Here is a 15,524-nt window from a genome sequence, read left to right on the forward strand (position 1 = left end):
AAACATTTTGCCACTAGGGTAGTTTTCTCATCCTGTGTCACCAACCTCACAGGGATGTGGCCACCTCCAACAACCACCTACCTGATGCTCCATGAACCCCACTCCTTTACTTTTTCTTTTTTTTTCTTTTTTTGAGGAGGAGTCTTGCTCTGTCGCCCAGAGCTGAAGTGCAGTGGCGCAATGTCAGCTCACTGCAACCTCTACCTCCTGGGTTCAAGCGATTCTCCTGCCTCAGCCTCCAGAGTAGCTGGGACTACAGGCACGTGCCACTATGCTCAGCTAATTTTGTACTTTTAGTAGAGACAGGGTTTCACTGTGTTGGCCAGGCTAGTCTCGAACTCCTGACCTCAAGTGATCTGCCTGCCTCTGCCTCCCAAAGCGCTGGGATTACAAGAACGAGTTGCTGCGCCCGGCCCCCCACTCCTTTACTTTTTATTTTATTTATTTATTTATTTGAGACGGAGTCTCCCTATGTTGCCCAGGCTGGAGTGCAGTGGTGCGATCTTGGCTCACTGCAACCTCTGCCGCTGGAGTTCAGTGGTGCGATCTTGGCTCACTGCAACCTCTGCCGCTGGAGTTCAATGGTGCGATCTTGGCTCACTGCAACCTCTGCCTCTGGGGTTCAAGTGATTCTCCTGCCTCAGCCTCCCAAGTAGCTGGGATTGCAGGCGAGTGCCACCACGCCCAGCTAATTTTTTTGTATTTTTGGTAGAAACAGGGTTTCACCATGTTGGCCAGGCTGGTCTCAAACTCCAGACCTCGTGATCCACCCACCTCGGCCTCCTAAAGTGCTGGGATTACAGGCATGAGCCACCGTGCCTGGCCTTTTTTCTTTTTTGAGACGGACCCTTGCTCTGTGGCTCAGGTTGGAGTGCAGCGGCAAGGTCTCAGCTCACTGCAACCTCTACCTCCAGGGTTCAAGCAATTTTCCTGTCTCAGCCTCCTGAGTAGCTGGGACTACAGGCACACGCCACCACACCCAGATAGTTTTTGTATTTTTAGTAAAGACGGGGTTTCACCATATTGGTCAGGCTGGTCTCCAACTCCTGACCTCAGGTGATCCACCCGCCTTGGCCTCCCAAAGTGCTGCGATTACAGATGTGAGCCACCACGCCTGGCTTTTTTTTTTTTTTTTTTTTGAGGCGGAGTCTCGCTCTGTCGTCCAGGCCAGAGTACAGTGGTGCAATCTCTCAGCTCACTGCAACCTCCACCTCCCGGGTTCAAGCCATTCTCCTGCCTCAGCCTCCCAAACAGCTGGGACGACAGGCACCCGCCACCATGCCCAGCCTTTTTTTTTTTTTTTGTATTTTTAGTAGAGACCAGGTTTCGCCATGCTGGCAAGGCTGGTCTCGAACTCCTGACCTCAAGCCATCCACCTGCCTTGGCCTCCCAAAGTGCTGGGATTACAGGCGTGAGCCACTGGGCCCAGCCCCCGACTCATTTTATGTATCCTGTGTCAGTGCTGTCCCATATAACCTTCCTTGATGACGGAAATGTTCTAATATGTGCAGCCCCGCTTGGTAGCCATACATGGCTTCTGAGCACTGGCTACTGTATTAACTAGGGTAGATACATAGAAAGTGGGCAAGTGGACAGAAAATCTCAAGTTGTAAAACATTCCCCCTGAGCATTTAGGTGCGGGACTTCCCTATTGGCTGCAGAGGCTGGAACTAGGAAGTAGAAATCTCTGCGCTCCCCAAACAATGAAGTTCACTCGCTTCCTATGAGTCATTAGCCACTCAACGAAGTCCTCACTTAACGTCATCAATAGGTTCTGGGAAACCGTGACCTTAAGCGAAACGACGTATAAGGAAACCAGTTTGTTTAAAGGACTGTTATTACAGGATCTGCTTGTTTTGCTTAAGTCCGTTTCCAAGCACCTATACAAAACGCTGAGGATGCACTGTGCTTTGAAGCCCAACTCCTCTTCCAGCACCGGCAGCAACCCTTGCGTCATTTGTGACTCCTTGGGAGGGGGAAGAGGGCTGTGGTCACTCAGTGCCCCATGACGAGCACATGGCCCGGCACAGGTGTTCAAGGAAAGTGAATGAGCAAGTTGAGGCCACAGACACCCGAAAACAACTCATCACAGACATGGTCTCCCTGGCTACTCTTCCTACCGGCCAGCAGACCCTGGTTCCCATGTCCTCTCCCCCAAGGAGTCCACCTGACTCCTCCAGGCTGTCAGGCACCGCTTGAGTCCCACAGCCTCTTGTGCTTTTCCCACAAGCGGCCACCCTGACTCCTTAGCTCCTCATGTTGAGGGGCCACAGGGTAGAGATGGGGCCTCTTGAGCAGATCTGTGACAACCTAAACTAGTAGTCAAGAACCTGGGCTCTAGGTCGGGCGCGGTGGCTCACGCCTGTTAATCCCAGCACTTCGAGAGGCCAAGGCAGGGGGATCTACCTGAGGTCAGGAGTTCAAGATCAGCCTGGATAACATAGTGAAACCCACGTCTCTACTAAAAATACAAAAATCAGTCAGGTGTGGTGGCACTTGCCTGTAGTCCCAGCTACTCAGGAGGCTGAGGCAGAATTGCTTGAACCCGGAAGGCGGAGGTTGCAGTGAGCTGAGATTGTGCAGCTACACTCCAGCCTGGGTGACAGAGCAAGACTCCGTCTCCAAAAAAAAAAAAGGCGGGGGGGGGGGGGCAGGTGTGGCGGCTCACACTTGTAATCCCAGCACTTTGGGAGGCCATGGCGGGTAGATTACCTGAGGTCAGGAGTTCCAGACCAGCCTGGCCAACGTGGTGAAACCGTCTCTACTAAAAATAGAACAATTAGCTGGGCAAGGTGGCAGGCGCCTGTAATCCCAGCTACTCGGGAGGCTGAGACAGGAGAATTGCTTGAACCCGGGAGGCGGAGGTTGCGGTGAGCCGAGATCACGCCATTGCACTCCAGCCAGGGATACAAGAGCAAAACTCTGTCTCAAAAAAAAGAAAAAGAAAAAAAAAGAACCTGGGGTCTTCCACAGCCCGGTTACCTGTCCAAAATGCCACTTTGGGCTCGGCATGGTGGCTCATGCCTGTAATCCCAGCACTTTGGGAGGCTGTGGCAGGAGGATCACTTGAGGTTAGGAGTTCAAGACCAGCCTTGCCAACATGGTGAAACCCCATCTCTACTAAAAATACAAAAATTAGGCTGGGTGCAGTGGCTCACGCCTATAATCCCAGCGCTTTAGGAGGCAGAGTCGGGTGATCACTTGAGGTCAGGATTTCAAGACCAACCTTGCCAACATGTTGAAACCCTGTCTCTACTTAAAAAAAAAAAAATTAGCTGGGTGTGGCAGGCGCCTGTTCAAGCAATTCTTTCCTTCAGCCTCCCAAGTAGCTGGATTACAGGCGCCTGCCACCATACCTAATTTTTGTACTTTTAATAGAGATGAGGTTTCACCATCTTGGCCAGGCTGATCTTTAACTCCTGACCTTGTAATCCACCAGCCTTGGCCTCTCAGAGTGATGGGATTACAGTCGTGAGCCACCGTGCCCGACTCTCCTTGTTTTCTTTGTATTAAAGATTATTGGCTAGGCATGGTAGCTCACACCTGTAACCTGGACACATTGGGAAGATGAGGCAGGAGGATTGCCTGAGGTCAGGAGACCACGCCTGGGCAACATAGTGAGACCTGTCTCTACAAAAACAAAAATTCAGCTGGGGGTGGTGGCTCTCGCCTGTAATCCCAGCACTTTGGGAGGCCCGGGAAGGCGGATCACTTGAGGTCAGGAGTTTGAGACCAGCCTGACCAACACAGTGAAACCCATCGATACTAAAAATACAAAATTAGCATGGCGTGGTGGTGGGTACCTGTAATCCAAGCTATTTGGGAGGCTGGGCTTGAAAAAAATAGACATCCACAAGGATGAGCCATATATCCGCCAAGGTCTGCAGCCACTAATGGCCCCAAACGACTGCCATCTCAGCTTTGCCTGCACACTGGACTCTACTGGAGGTGTAGAGACAGAGACCCCCTGCCTTCTGCTTCCACTCACCCACACCAAGCCCAGCGCGACCACTTCTGGGGAGGGTCAAAATCCAGACTGGCAATAGGTCCAGGATGTTTACTGATTTCTGTCTGGTTAAACATCCAATACCAACACATAAGGCCACACACAGTTCTTGAAACTTTAAAATCCCTCAAAAACTGTTTATTATACAAGTGAGTTTTGAGTCACGATGGGCTTATCGGTAGGATTTCTGGTAGCGAGCGCGGGCACCAGGGCCTCCAAACTTTTTGGACTCGCAGCGACGAGGGTCAGCTACCAGCAGGGTCCGGTCATACTGGATGAGGATGTCTTTGATCTCCTTCTTGGAAGCCTCATCCACATCTGGCAAGAAGAGCAGGGACGAGGATTTAGATAATCACACAGAGTCCTTGACTTGATCCCCACACACCCATCTACCTCATGGGAAGGACCCATGCTCACTCACATTTCTGGTAATAGGCCACCAGGGCTTTGGAGATGGACTGACGGATAGCTGTGAGAAAGACACACAATTAAAGGGTACAGGAGCGCTGTGAAGGCCTCCCTCCCAGAGCCACCTCCTCCATGCGCCCAGTTCCTGGGACTCACCATAAATCTGGGCCACGTGACCACCACCCTTTACACGGACACGGATGTCTACACCAGCAAATCGCTCCTTGCCGAGAAGCAGAACTGGCTCCAGCAGCTAAAGGAATGGGGAATGAACAGGGATTTAAGTTACATGCTGGGCAGCTTAGCCATCTCACTGGGCTTCTTGTTTCTGTGGCTTCTGCCACCACTGGCCTTCAAGTACTAGTGGATGGGGGTCAGGGTGTCACTCCAAGGCCCTCTACAGACCCAGAGAAGAGGAAAGTCAAAAAAGCCAGATATGAGACTGCTGAAGTGGTGTTAAGAAATATAGGCAAGGTAAAGGGAACAAGATCTGGGCTCCCTCCTACTTGTGTCCCTCACTGGACCTCAGACACCCTACCTCTAAGACTGGTTCTTAGAAGGCTGAACAGTAAGGAGCATTCCAATAGCTTCTGAAACTCCCAAGGCTGTTTCAAGTAGTCGAAAGCCATCCCTGGACTGTTCAGGTGCCTTTTCTATTTCCCACCTGAGCTCTCTGCCCTTTCTTTGAGCCTCACAGGTTTCCAGAATTACAGTACAACCTGTCCCTGGTCCCTAGACCCTTCCCAGCTCCAGGTCTTTTACCAGTGCCTCTGTCTGGATACTTCCTTTACCTGCTTTCAGCTCACAGGTCTCCTTCCCCAGTTCTGACCACTTTGGATCAGCTTCTGGTATTGGGCCCAGTCCTTCTCCCCAACTAGGCTGGCAGGTCCATGAAGGCAAGACCTTAAGTCATCTGGATCACTGCTATGTCCCCAAAACTCAACAGAGGGTACACATACAAATCCTTCAAATACAGTGACAGCCAATAACAGTAACATTCAACATCTGCTACACAAAGGAAATCTCAGAATTTTTATTAAATTCTAGGCCAGGCATGGTGATCACACCTGTAATCCCAGTCCAGGCAGAAGGATCACATGAGACCAAGGACCAGCCTGGGCAATAAAGTGAGACCCCACGTCTACAGAAAAATATTTCTCAAATGAGCCAGGCGTGGTGATGTGCCTGTAGTCTTGGCAACCGAAAGGCTGAGGTGGGAGGATCTCCAACTCAGGAGTTTAAGGCTGCAGTTCATTAGGATTGTGCTATTGCACTCCAGGGTAGGTGACAGCAAGATACTGTTTTTAAAAAAGAACCTTATAACTCAAAAAAAATTTTTTTAACTGACCCTGCAATGTAGATATTCTTTCTTTTAAAAGTAGTAGAGTTCAGAAGGGGCAGAAATCAGACTCTGGTTTCTTTCCATTCTGAGCCAAAGAAATTGAGAGTCCCAAAAAGGGAACAGAGGAACCCCTTTTACAAGCAAGCATTTAAACAGACCCAAATTCGGCCGCACACGGTGGCTGACGCCTGCAATCCCAGCACTTCGGGAGGCCGAGGCTGGTGGATCACCTGAGGTAATGAGTTCGAGACCACTCTGGCCAATATGGCGAAACCCCGTCTCTACTAAAAATACAAAAATTAGCCGGGCGTGGTGGTGCATGCCTGTAATCTCAGCTACTCAAGAGGCTGAGGCAGGAGAATCGCTTTAACCCGGGAGGCGAAGGTTGCAGTGATCCGAGATCGCGCCACTACACTCCAGCCTGGGCGACACAGCGAGACTCCCTCTCAAAACAAATAAATAAAATAAAAAATAGTCGGTGTCCCTTCACCCTTTGGGTCCCCCCGCCCCAGTGAGGTGAGCTTCCTAACATCCCAGTTCTCAAAGCAAACCCTTAATCTTCAACAACCCCATCTCAGCTTTTACATCTTCTGAACCCCAAGCCCAGCTCTATTGCCAAATACCCCACTGTTCTACACCCAACACAACTTCTAAACATCCCGTTGCTGATGCCAGCCCCCCCAGCTTTCAAGAGCTACAACATCTCTGTCTCCAAGAGTCCTCCATCCACTCAACGCCGGTGCCGGATCCCAGCACCTTGTACTGTAGCGTGCGCGGCTCAATCATCTCCAGGGGCCGCCCGTTCACCTTGATGAGACCATTGCCGCGTTTGCAGTGCGCCACAGCTGTCGCTGTCTTCTGTAAGATACAAGAGAAACAGGGGCCCCGTGAGCTCCGGCTCCAGCTCCCATGTTACCCCCTAGATTCCTGCCCACCGACCTCTCCCAGACCCTGGCCTTCTCCTTCCCCTCCCCTTCCCATCCGGCGTCTGGCTCACCTTGCGTCCGAAGACCTGCACAGACTGCAGCGGGCCCTTGGACGGCATGGCTCCGAGCGTGGACTAGACAACCTCACCGCGCGGCGCCGCAACCGGAAAAGGAAAGCTAGGGGCCACCCTGGCCGCTTTTCAGGGTCTGCGCAGGCGCCTTGAGCACTGCGTCGCGACGGGAGAGAGCTTTACGGCTTCTGTTGCGGCTAACGGGCGGGGCGTCTGGTCAGCGGCGGGAAGGCCCTTAGGCGCTCAGAGCGGGCGGGCCCTGTGAGGCGGAAGTGGCGGGCTCTGTGGGCGGAAGGGGCGGGGCCTGGGAGTGTCGTGTGCGGACTGAAGGGAAGGCTGCGGGAGTGTGCTTCGCGTCCTCTGTAGTCGACTACCGCAGCTCTTCTTTGCATTCTGGCTCTTTAATAATCTCCCTTCGCCCTTTCTTTAAATCAGTTCCCACCCTCCCAACACCTGTAATCTTTCTCCCCTCTGGACTCCCTCCTCCCCGAATCCCCCGCATCAGAATCTTCCTTTGGAATCTACTGCAAGAAATCTGGCTGGATTCTCAGATTAAGGACTTCCAGAATCCTATCCTCCCTAGAATCCCCCTCCTTGGGGATCCTCTCCCAGAATCCTTTTCCCCTCAGAGCCCCTTCCCCTCAGAATCTCCCTTTCACCAGAATGTCCTTCCTTTCAGTTTCCTCTTCCCAGAATGTTTCCCATCCTTCTCTCAGATGGCCAACCCCAAATGTCCCTCTTAAGAGTGCTCAACTTAGACCCCCCTTTTCCCTGAATCTCCCTCCATTCGGTCCTCGTCCCCTCAGTCACCCTTCCCAGAATCTTTCTCTTGTCAGGACCCAGTACCCCTGGAATCTCCCTCCTCCAGAATCTCCCTTTCCCGGCAAATCCCCCTTTCCCGGCAAATCCCCCTTTCCCAGAACACCCCGCCCCGCAAATCCACAAAAACTTTTCTCTCAGAGACCCGTCCCTCAAAATCTACCTTTCTCCTGAGTTTATTTCCCTTCCGAGACTCCTCTTCCCAGCAACTGCCTTCCCTGGAGTTTTCCCTCCGTTAGAATCCCCCTCTCCTAAGAGACCCTCCCCCAAGAATTAACCTCTTCCCCGTCCCCACCCTAGAATCTCTCTCTTTTTTTTGAGACGGAGTTTCGCTCGTTGCCCTGGCTAGAGTGCAGTGGTGCGATCTCGTCTCACTGCAACCTCCGCCTCCCGGGTTCAAGAGATTCTCCTGCCTTAGGCTCCCGAGTAGCTGGAATTACAGGCGTCTACCACCACGCCCTGGTCGTTTTTTGTATTTTTAGTAGAAATGGGGTTTCACCACGTTGGCCAGGCTGGTCTCGAACTCCTGACCTCAGGTGATGTGATCCGCCTCAGCCTCCCAGAGTCCTGGGATTACAGGCGTGAGCCACCACGCCCGGCCGAATCTCTCTGTTTTTTGTTTTTTTTTTTTCTTTTTTTTGAGACAGAGTCCTGCTCTGTCGCCCAGGCTGGAGTGCAGTGGCATGATCTCTGCTCACTGCAACCTCTGCCTCCCCGGTTAAAGCGATTCTCCTGCCTCAGCCTCTTGAGTAGCTGAGATTACAGGCATGCACCACCACGCCCGGCTAATTTTTGTATTTGTAGTAGAGACGGGGTTTCACCATATTGGCCAGACTGGTCTCGAACTCCTGACATCAAATGATCCACTCATCTCAGCCTCCCAAAGTGCTGGGATTACAGGCGTGAGCCACCGCGCCCAGCCCCTAGAATCTCTTTCTCCAGAATCTCCCAGTCATCTTTTTCCTCTCCCCCAAATCACCCTCCACTTAAGCCTCCTCCCCACAGAATTCTCCATCCCCAGCCCCCCAACCCCACCTGAGGAACCCCAGGATTGGGTTGTCCTCTGGTTCCCCGGCAGATGTCCCTGCGTCTCACCCCATCAAGAGTCTCCCCAGCGAAGAGGTTCCTCTCTCAGAGCTAGAGGGAGCCCACAGTTGCCTCAGTTTCTCTGGCAGTACAGGGTCTGGGATCCAGGGTTCAAAAGGGCGTCGTGGTGCACCTTGCCAAAGAGGGTGGAGACAGGGAGACACTGGAGGGCAGGTCTGGGGCCAGAGGGAAAAGCCAGCCCGGAGTCCAGCTCTAAAAGGGTGAGGGGGGAGGGGGCTGTTGGGAGGGAGGAAGGAAGTACCCAGAGGCTGACCGGGAGGGACACAGACACAGCCCAAAGAAATGTAGGCACAAGTGGAGAAGAAGAGAAAGATGAAAGGCCAAGGGAGAAGAGGAGGAGAAAAGGGAGAGACCAGGACAGTCAAGAGATGGACCCCCAAAACAAGCCCAGTGACAGATTTAGAGGCAGAGAGGCCAACCCTCAGACAAAAAAGAGATAAAGGCAGGCATGATGTTTCCAAAATACTTGAGACAGAGGCCAGGTGCAGTGGCTCACACCTATAATCCCAGCACTTTGGGAGGCCAAGGCAGCAGGATCACTCGAGCCCAGGGTTCAAGACCAGCCTGGCCAACATGGTGAAACCCCGCCTTTACTAAAAATACAAAAATCAGCTGGGCATGGTGGCAGGTGCCTGTATCCCAGCCACAAGGGAGGCTGAGGCAGGAGAACCGCTTGAACCCGGGAGGCGGAGGTTGCAGTGAGCTGAGATGTCGCCACTGCACCCTAGGCTGGGCGCCAGAGCAAGACTCTGTCTCAAAAATAAATAAATAAATAAACTCTGTCTCAAAAATAAATAAATAAAATAAAATAAATAGAGCAGAGACCTCAAATATTCACTTGCAGACACAGATAAAGGCTAGCACAGGTGTTTTCCAATGAAGACACAGGCAGATGAGAGGATGCACACATTCTACCTGTACTTTTTCTTTTTTTTTTTTTAAATTGAGATAGAGTCTGTGTCACCCAGGCTGGAATGCAGTGATGCAATCTGAGCTCACTGCAACCTCCACCTCCCCGGTTCAAGTGATTGTCCTGCTTCAGACTCTGGAGTAGCTGAGATTACAGATTCTCCTGCTTCAGACTCCTGAGTAGCCCAGATCACGGGCCTCCACCACTATGCTTGACTAATAATTTTTCTTTTTTTTTTTTGAGATGGAGTATCGCTCTGTCGCCCAGACTGGAGGGCAGTGGCTTGATCTCAGCTCACTGCAACGTCAGCTTCCTGGGTTCAAGCAATTCTCCTGCATCAGCCTTCCAAGTAGCTGGGATTAAAGGCATGCACCACCATGCCCAGCTAATTTTTGTATTTATTAGTAGAGACAGGGTTTCACTATGCTGGGCAGACTAGTCTTGAACTCCTGACCTCAAGTGATCCACTTGCCTCGGCCTCCCAAAGTGCTGGGATTACAAGTGTGAGCCACTGTGCCTGGCCACTAATTTTTGTATTTTTTAGTAGAGACAGGGTTCCATCGTGTTGGCCAGGCTGGTCTTGAACTCCTTACCTCAAGTGATCCGCCCACCTCGGCCTCCCAAGGTTCTGGGATTACAGGTGTGAGCCACAGCGGTTGGCCTAGCCTGCACTGTCTTAAGGGCCTGTTGGGCAGGGGAGTTCAGGTTCTCTCGTCTCTCCAGATTGATCTTCACACATTTGCTAAGTCTCGTATCGTCCCTGAGCTTGGGAGTCAGGGAGCGCTCTGACCTAAGCCCTCCTGACTTTGGGGTCACCATCTTTCCCCAGCCTCTATGGGCACACTCCCTGAATTATCTGTGGCTTGAGTGGAGCAAGCAGGGGATGGGATGAGGGGTGGCGGGGGAGTTCCCCTCATCCACTTCAGCCTTCCAGTCTGCTCCCCCTTCCTGTACCTCTCTCTTCCAGAACCCCAGGCCAAGCACCAGAGAAGGCCTGGGAGTGAGCAAGGTGCCCATGTTGCTTCTGTGGATCATCCTCCTGCTTGTACAGCCCTGGGAGGGCCTAGGAACGCCCGCCCCTCTGCTGGAGGGAGCCTTTTTACTTCCTTGCAGCCCTCTGAAGATACCAGCGAGTGGGGAGCAGAGCCAGCAGACGGGGTGGGCCAATTGATGGGGCGTGGTAGGGGGTGTGTTTGAGGAAGGGTCAGCCTCTTTCCCTCCAAGATCTGATTCTCCTCCTTACCCCTGAACTGTAGGAAAACAAAAATGATGACACCCTCTACACCCCAGATGATCTCTCAGTGAGTATTGCATTCGCTTCTTTCTGCAGTTGCAGGTTTTGAGAGAATTCAGTGGTCTCCATGTGTGAGGGCTGCTGTGTGACCATATGAATATGTTGCGGGGAGGAAGTAGTGGGACTATCTCCTGACCCAGCCCCTAGCCTTGACAGATATATTTTGCTCACTGCTGTCTCCAACACCTAGAATAGGGAGGTATATAATAACAAATGATGATGATGACTACAGCTGCATGTAAATAGTGTTTACTCTGTGCCAGGTATTGGTTTAAATGCTTTAAGTATGTTAGCTTATTTACTCTGTACACCAATCCTATAAGATAGATAGGACCACCATGTATGGATGTGAATGTTGTACACTGCACAAGGATCCCACATCTACAAAGACAGTACTATATTCACAGGCTGGATATTGTAGATTTGCATATTTGCCAACTTGCGGCAGATGGCAGTAAAGTATCTTGTTCTAATAAAATCAAGACTTAGAAGGTAGAAGGAACTTAAGGAAGGTCTTTTTATTTTCTTTTTTTTGAGACAGGGTCTTGCTCTGTCCCCTACGCTGGAGTGCAGTGGCACAATCACAGCTCACTGCAGTCTTGACCTTTTAGGCTCAAGCAATCCTCCCACCTCAGCCTCCAGAGTAGCTGGGACCACATACACGTGACACCACAAATAGCTAATGGCTAATTTTTTTTTTTTTTTTTTGAGACACAGTGTTGCTCTGTTGCCAGCTGGAGTGCAGTGGCGTGATCTCTGCTCACTGCAACCTCTGCGTCCTGGGTTGAAGCAATTCTTCTGCCTCAGCCTCCCGAGTAGCTGGGACTACAGGCATGTGCCACCATGCCCAGCTAATTTTTGTATTTTTAGTAGAGACAGGGTTTCACCATGTTGGCCAGGATGTTCTCGATCTCTTGACCTCGTGATCCACCTGCCTCAACCTCCCAAAGTGCTGGGATTACAGGCGTGAGCCACCGTGCCCGACCTTTTTTTTTTTTTTTTTTTTTTTGTAGATATGGGGTGTCGCTGTGTTGCCCAGGCTGGTTTTGGACACCTGGGCTCAAGTGATCTTCCTGCCTTGGCCTCTCAAAGAGCTGGGATTACAGGCATGAGCCACTGTGCCCAGCTGAGTGTCTTTTTCTAGCTTGCACATAAGTACAGCATGGGATAGTGTCAGGCCTTACGGTTGGGATTATCCAGAGCCCTATTTACAGATGAGGAAACTGAGGCCCAGAGAACTGAAGGGGTTTGTTCCAGGACACAGATAAGAAATCTTGGGAGTGGGGACTTGGACTCATGCCCTTACCCATAGATACCAGGTCACTTTGTCCCTACTGTGTGTCCTGCTGAGACTCTAGGCTGCTCCAGGTTGGAGCTGTCTGTGATTGGGTTTGAGGAGGGACCATCTATGGGAACTGCTGTGTTCCAGCTACAGTACCTGCTGGATCTCCTGGGGTCCCGGCTGTGGGTGGCCAGCCAGGGCCCTTGCCTGTCCTGTGAAGGACATCCCCAGAGACCTGTCCCCCTCTTGGAGTTACTACAGGGAGCTTGTGCTTGGCACCCTACCACAGCCTGAGCTTTGGAGGACATGGGCTCCCAGGTACACCCAGAGAGGCTGGGTAGAGAGAGGGAGGGAATAGTCTTCAGCTCCAACTGCCAAACCCTAAGCCTTTTCTTCCCTCTAGGCCAGAGGACCCCACCTGGAGCCCTAGTAGCCAAGGGGAAGAGTTAAGAAGGAGGAAAGTAAGGTGCGATCTGAAGTCTCTGACCTCTTGGGCAGGGAGTTGGATAAATTGCCCCACCTGCCCCCATTCTCACCCTCCTTTAGATACTCTTCTCTCTTCTTCCAGGAAGGGACAGAGAAGTGCACAGGTATTCTCTAACCTCATCCCTATACCTTGAGAACAGGGAGGGTCCTGTGGTTCACATCCCTACATCCCTGGCTACAAAAAATTACCACTTGAAGAACTTTCTTTTCTTTTCTTTTCTGTTTTTGAGGCAGAGTCTCACTCTGTTGCCCAGGCTAGAGTGCAGTGGCATGGTCTCAGCTCGCTGCAACCTCCACCTCCTGGGTTCAAGTAATTCTCCTGCCTCAGCCTCCTGAGTAACTGGGATTACAGGCACGCGCCACTACACCTGACTAATTTTTGTATTTTTAGTAGAGATGGGGTTTCACAATGTTGGTCACGCTGGTCTCGAACGCCTGACCTTGTGATCTGCCCACCTCAGCCTCCCAAACTGCTGGGATTACAGGCGTGAGCCACCGTGCCCAGCCCACCACTTGGAGAACTTTCAAGTAATACTGATGGCCAGACCCCAGCCCAGATAATTTGATAATTGGTCTCTGGTGAAGCCTGAGCATCTATATTATTTTTATTATTATTTAGAGACAGGGTTTCACTATGCTGCACAGGCTGTAACTTGGCATCTGCCCATATATTTTTTTGAGACAGGGTCTCACTCTGTCACCCAGGCTGGAGTGCAGTGGCATGATCAAAACTCATTGCAGGCTCGATCTTTCAGGCTCAAGTGACTCTCCCACCTCAGTCCCCCAAGTAGCTAGCGCTATAGGCGCATGCCACCACACTCAGCTAATTTTTGTATTTTTTGTAGAGATGGGGTTACCCTTTATTGCCCAGGCTAATCTTGAACTCCTGGCTCAAGCGATACTCCCCCCTTGGCCTCCCAAAGTGCTGGGATTATAGGCATGAGCCACCACACCTGACATTTTTTTTTTTTTTTTGAGACAGAGTCTCCCTTTGTCACCCAGGCTGGAGTGCACCGGCTGGTGGACTGGATGGCCACATTTCCATCACCCCAAAGCATTCCTTCTCTCTCTTCCCAGTCAATTTCCACCTCCCTCTCCAGCCCCAGACATCCACTAATCTGCATTGTCTGTATAGGTTGGTTTTGCTTGCTCTGGAGTTTCATATGAATGGAATCATGCTGGACATCTCCTGATGTCTGGCTTCTTTCACTCAGCATAATGTTTTGGAGATTCAGTCATGGGTGTATTGGTAGTTGTTACTATTCTGTTGCATGGATGGATGTACCAAAATTTGTTTTTCTTTTGAGACGAGTCTCACTCTGTTGCCCAGGCTGGAGTGCAGTGGTGCGATCTCTGCTCACTGCAACCTTCACCTCCCTGGTTCAAGTGATTCTCCTGCCTCAGCCTCCCAAGTAGCTGGGATTACAGGCGTGCGCCACCACACCTGGCTATTTTTTTTTTTTTTTTTTTTGTATTTTTAGTAGAGATGGGGTTTCACCATATTGGCCAGGCTGGTCTTGAACTCCTGACTTCGTGATCCGCCTGCCTTGGCCTTCCAAAGTGCTGGGATTACAGGCGTGAGTCACTGCGCCCGGCCCTAATTTTTGTGTTTCCAGTTTAGGGCTATTATGCAACTCTTTCTTTCTAAAATATTCTCAAGTATTCTGATGTGCTACCAGAGTTGAGTTCAGAACCACGGATCCACCAAGGAAGAAACTTCCATGGCTGGGGAAATGACTGTGCCCTCTTTTTTCTGCAGGGAATGGCTTTCTGCAGCAGTGTCTGTAGCGATTTAATATGTAGAATCCTATTTTCTTGTTGTTTTTTTTTTTGAGACGGAGTCTTGCTCTTTTGTCACAGCAACCTCCACCTCTCAAGTTCAAGAGATTCTCCTGCCACAGCCTCCCGAGTAGCTGGGATTACGGGTGTGCGCCACTACGCCACCTGGCTAATTTTTGTATTTTTTAGTAGAGACAGGGTTTTACCATGTTGGCCAGGCTGGTCTTGAACTCCTGACCTCAGGTGATCCGCCTGCCTTGGCCTCCCAAAGTGCTGGGATTACAGGCGTGAGCCACCGCGCCCGGTGGAGAATCCTTTCTTTTTTTGAGATGGAGTCTAGCTCTGTTGCCCAGGCTGGAGTGCAGTAGCACGATCTCGGCTCACTGCAAGCTCGGCCTCCCGGGTTCACGCCATTCTCCTGCCTCAGCCTTACGTGTAGCTGGGACTACAGGCGCCCGCCACCACGCCCAGCTAATTTTTTTTTGTATTTTTAGTAGAGATGGGGTTTCACCGTGTTAGCCAGGATGGTCTCGGTCTCCTGACCTCGTGATCCACCCGCCTCGGCCTCCCAAAGTGCTGGGATTACAGACGTGAGCCACCGCGCCCGGCCCAGGTGTGTCATACTTATGTGAGAAATTTTACCAATGTGTCCTGAGGCTTCTTTTTTTTTTTTTTTTTTTTGAGACTGAGTCTCACTCTCGCCCAGGCTGGAGTGCAGTGGCGCGATCTCGGCTCACTGCAAGCTCCGCCTCCTGGGTTCACGCCATTCTCCTGCCTCAGCCTCCCGAGTAGCTAGAATCACAGGCACATGCCACCACGCCCGGCTAATTTTTTTGTATTTTTAGTAGAGACGGGGTTTCACCATGTTGGCCAGACTGGTTTCGAACTCCTGACCTCAGGCAATCTGCCCGCCCCGGCCTCCCAATGTGTTGGGATTACAGGCATGAGCCACCGCGACTGACATAGACTTCTGATTTTTAAAATTTCCCCTATCAGGTTAATTTTTCAATTTTTAAAAATTTAAGTTTTAATTTTTTTTTTTTTTTTTTTTTAGAGACAGGGTCTCTATTACCCAGTCTGGAGTGCAGTGGTGC

General features: G+C 51.2%; 1 protein-coding gene across 3 annotated transcripts, besides 4 other annotated features; it reads right to left on the reverse strand.

The window, feature by feature from the left end:
* Positions 2,350-2,469: an enhancer, noted in NCBI's record as "active region_14620". NCBI's record gives its function as "activates an Ori minimal core promoter by ATAC-STARR-seq in GM12878 lymphoblastoid cells {active_cell/tissue: GM12878}" and the evidence as "EXISTENCE:reporter gene assay evidence [ECO:0000049][PMID:35858748]".
* On the reverse strand, positions 4,043-6,855 carry RPS16 (ribosomal protein S16). Of its 3 annotated transcripts, none has more exons than NM_001321111.2 (5): positions 6,754-6,855; positions 6,564-6,614; positions 4,571-4,667; positions 4,428-4,475; positions 4,043-4,324 (listed from the first exon to the last, which is right to left on the reverse strand). In NM_001321111.2, exons 1-5 carry the CDS (start codon positions 6,799-6,801, stop codon positions 4,179-4,181), a joined length of 390 nt encoding a protein of 129 aa, NP_001308040.1. In that variant the 5' UTR covers positions 6,802-6,855; the 3' UTR covers positions 4,043-4,178. The 3 variants fall into 3 exon arrangements, with proteins under 3 accessions (NP_001308040.1, NP_001011.1, NP_001350789.1); NM_001020.6 differs by having other exon boundaries at positions 6,513-6,614; NM_001363860.2 differs by having other exon boundaries at positions 4,428-4,667; positions 6,513-6,614.
* Positions 6,049-6,628: an enhancer, noted in NCBI's record as "NANOG-H3K27ac-H3K4me1 hESC enhancer chr19:39925783-39926362 (GRCh37/hg19 assembly coordinates)". NCBI's record gives its function as "activates a minimal SCP1, AML or CMV promoter by ChIP-STARR-seq in naive H9 embryonic stem cells {active_cell/tissue: H9 hESC(naive)}" and the evidence as "EXISTENCE:reporter gene assay evidence [ECO:0000049][PMID:30033119]".
* Positions 7,009-7,108: a silencer, noted in NCBI's record as "silent region_10605". NCBI's record gives its function as "represses an Ori minimal core promoter by ATAC-STARR-seq in GM12878 lymphoblastoid cells {active_cell/tissue: GM12878}" and the evidence as "EXISTENCE:reporter gene assay evidence [ECO:0000049][PMID:35858748]".
* Positions 8,292-9,060: an enhancer, noted in NCBI's record as "H3K4me1 hESC enhancer chr19:39928026-39928794 (GRCh37/hg19 assembly coordinates)". NCBI's record gives its function as "activates a minimal SCP1, AML or CMV promoter by ChIP-STARR-seq in primed H9 embryonic stem cells {active_cell/tissue: H9 hESC(primed)}" and the evidence as "EXISTENCE:reporter gene assay evidence [ECO:0000049][PMID:30033119]".

This window comes from Homo sapiens, chromosome 19 (assembly GCF_000001405.40).
Source record: "Homo sapiens chromosome 19, GRCh38.p14 Primary Assembly".
Lineage (NCBI taxonomy): Eukaryota > Metazoa > Chordata > Mammalia > Primates > Hominidae > Homo > Homo sapiens.

Coding starts and splice junctions, on each gene's coding strand:
- RPS16 (NM_001363860.2), bottom strand. CDS start 6,801: ATGCCGTCCAAGGGCCCGCTGCAGTCTGTGCAGGTCTTCGGACGCAAG. Junction 6,615..6,753: donor TGCAGGTCTTCGGACGCAAG/GTGAGCCAGACG, acceptor TGTATCTTACAG/AAGACAGCGACAGCTGTGGC. Junction 4,668..6,512: donor CGCGCACGCTACAGTACAAG/GTGCTGGGATCC, acceptor CCATTCCTTTAG/CTGCTGGAGCCAGTTCTGCT.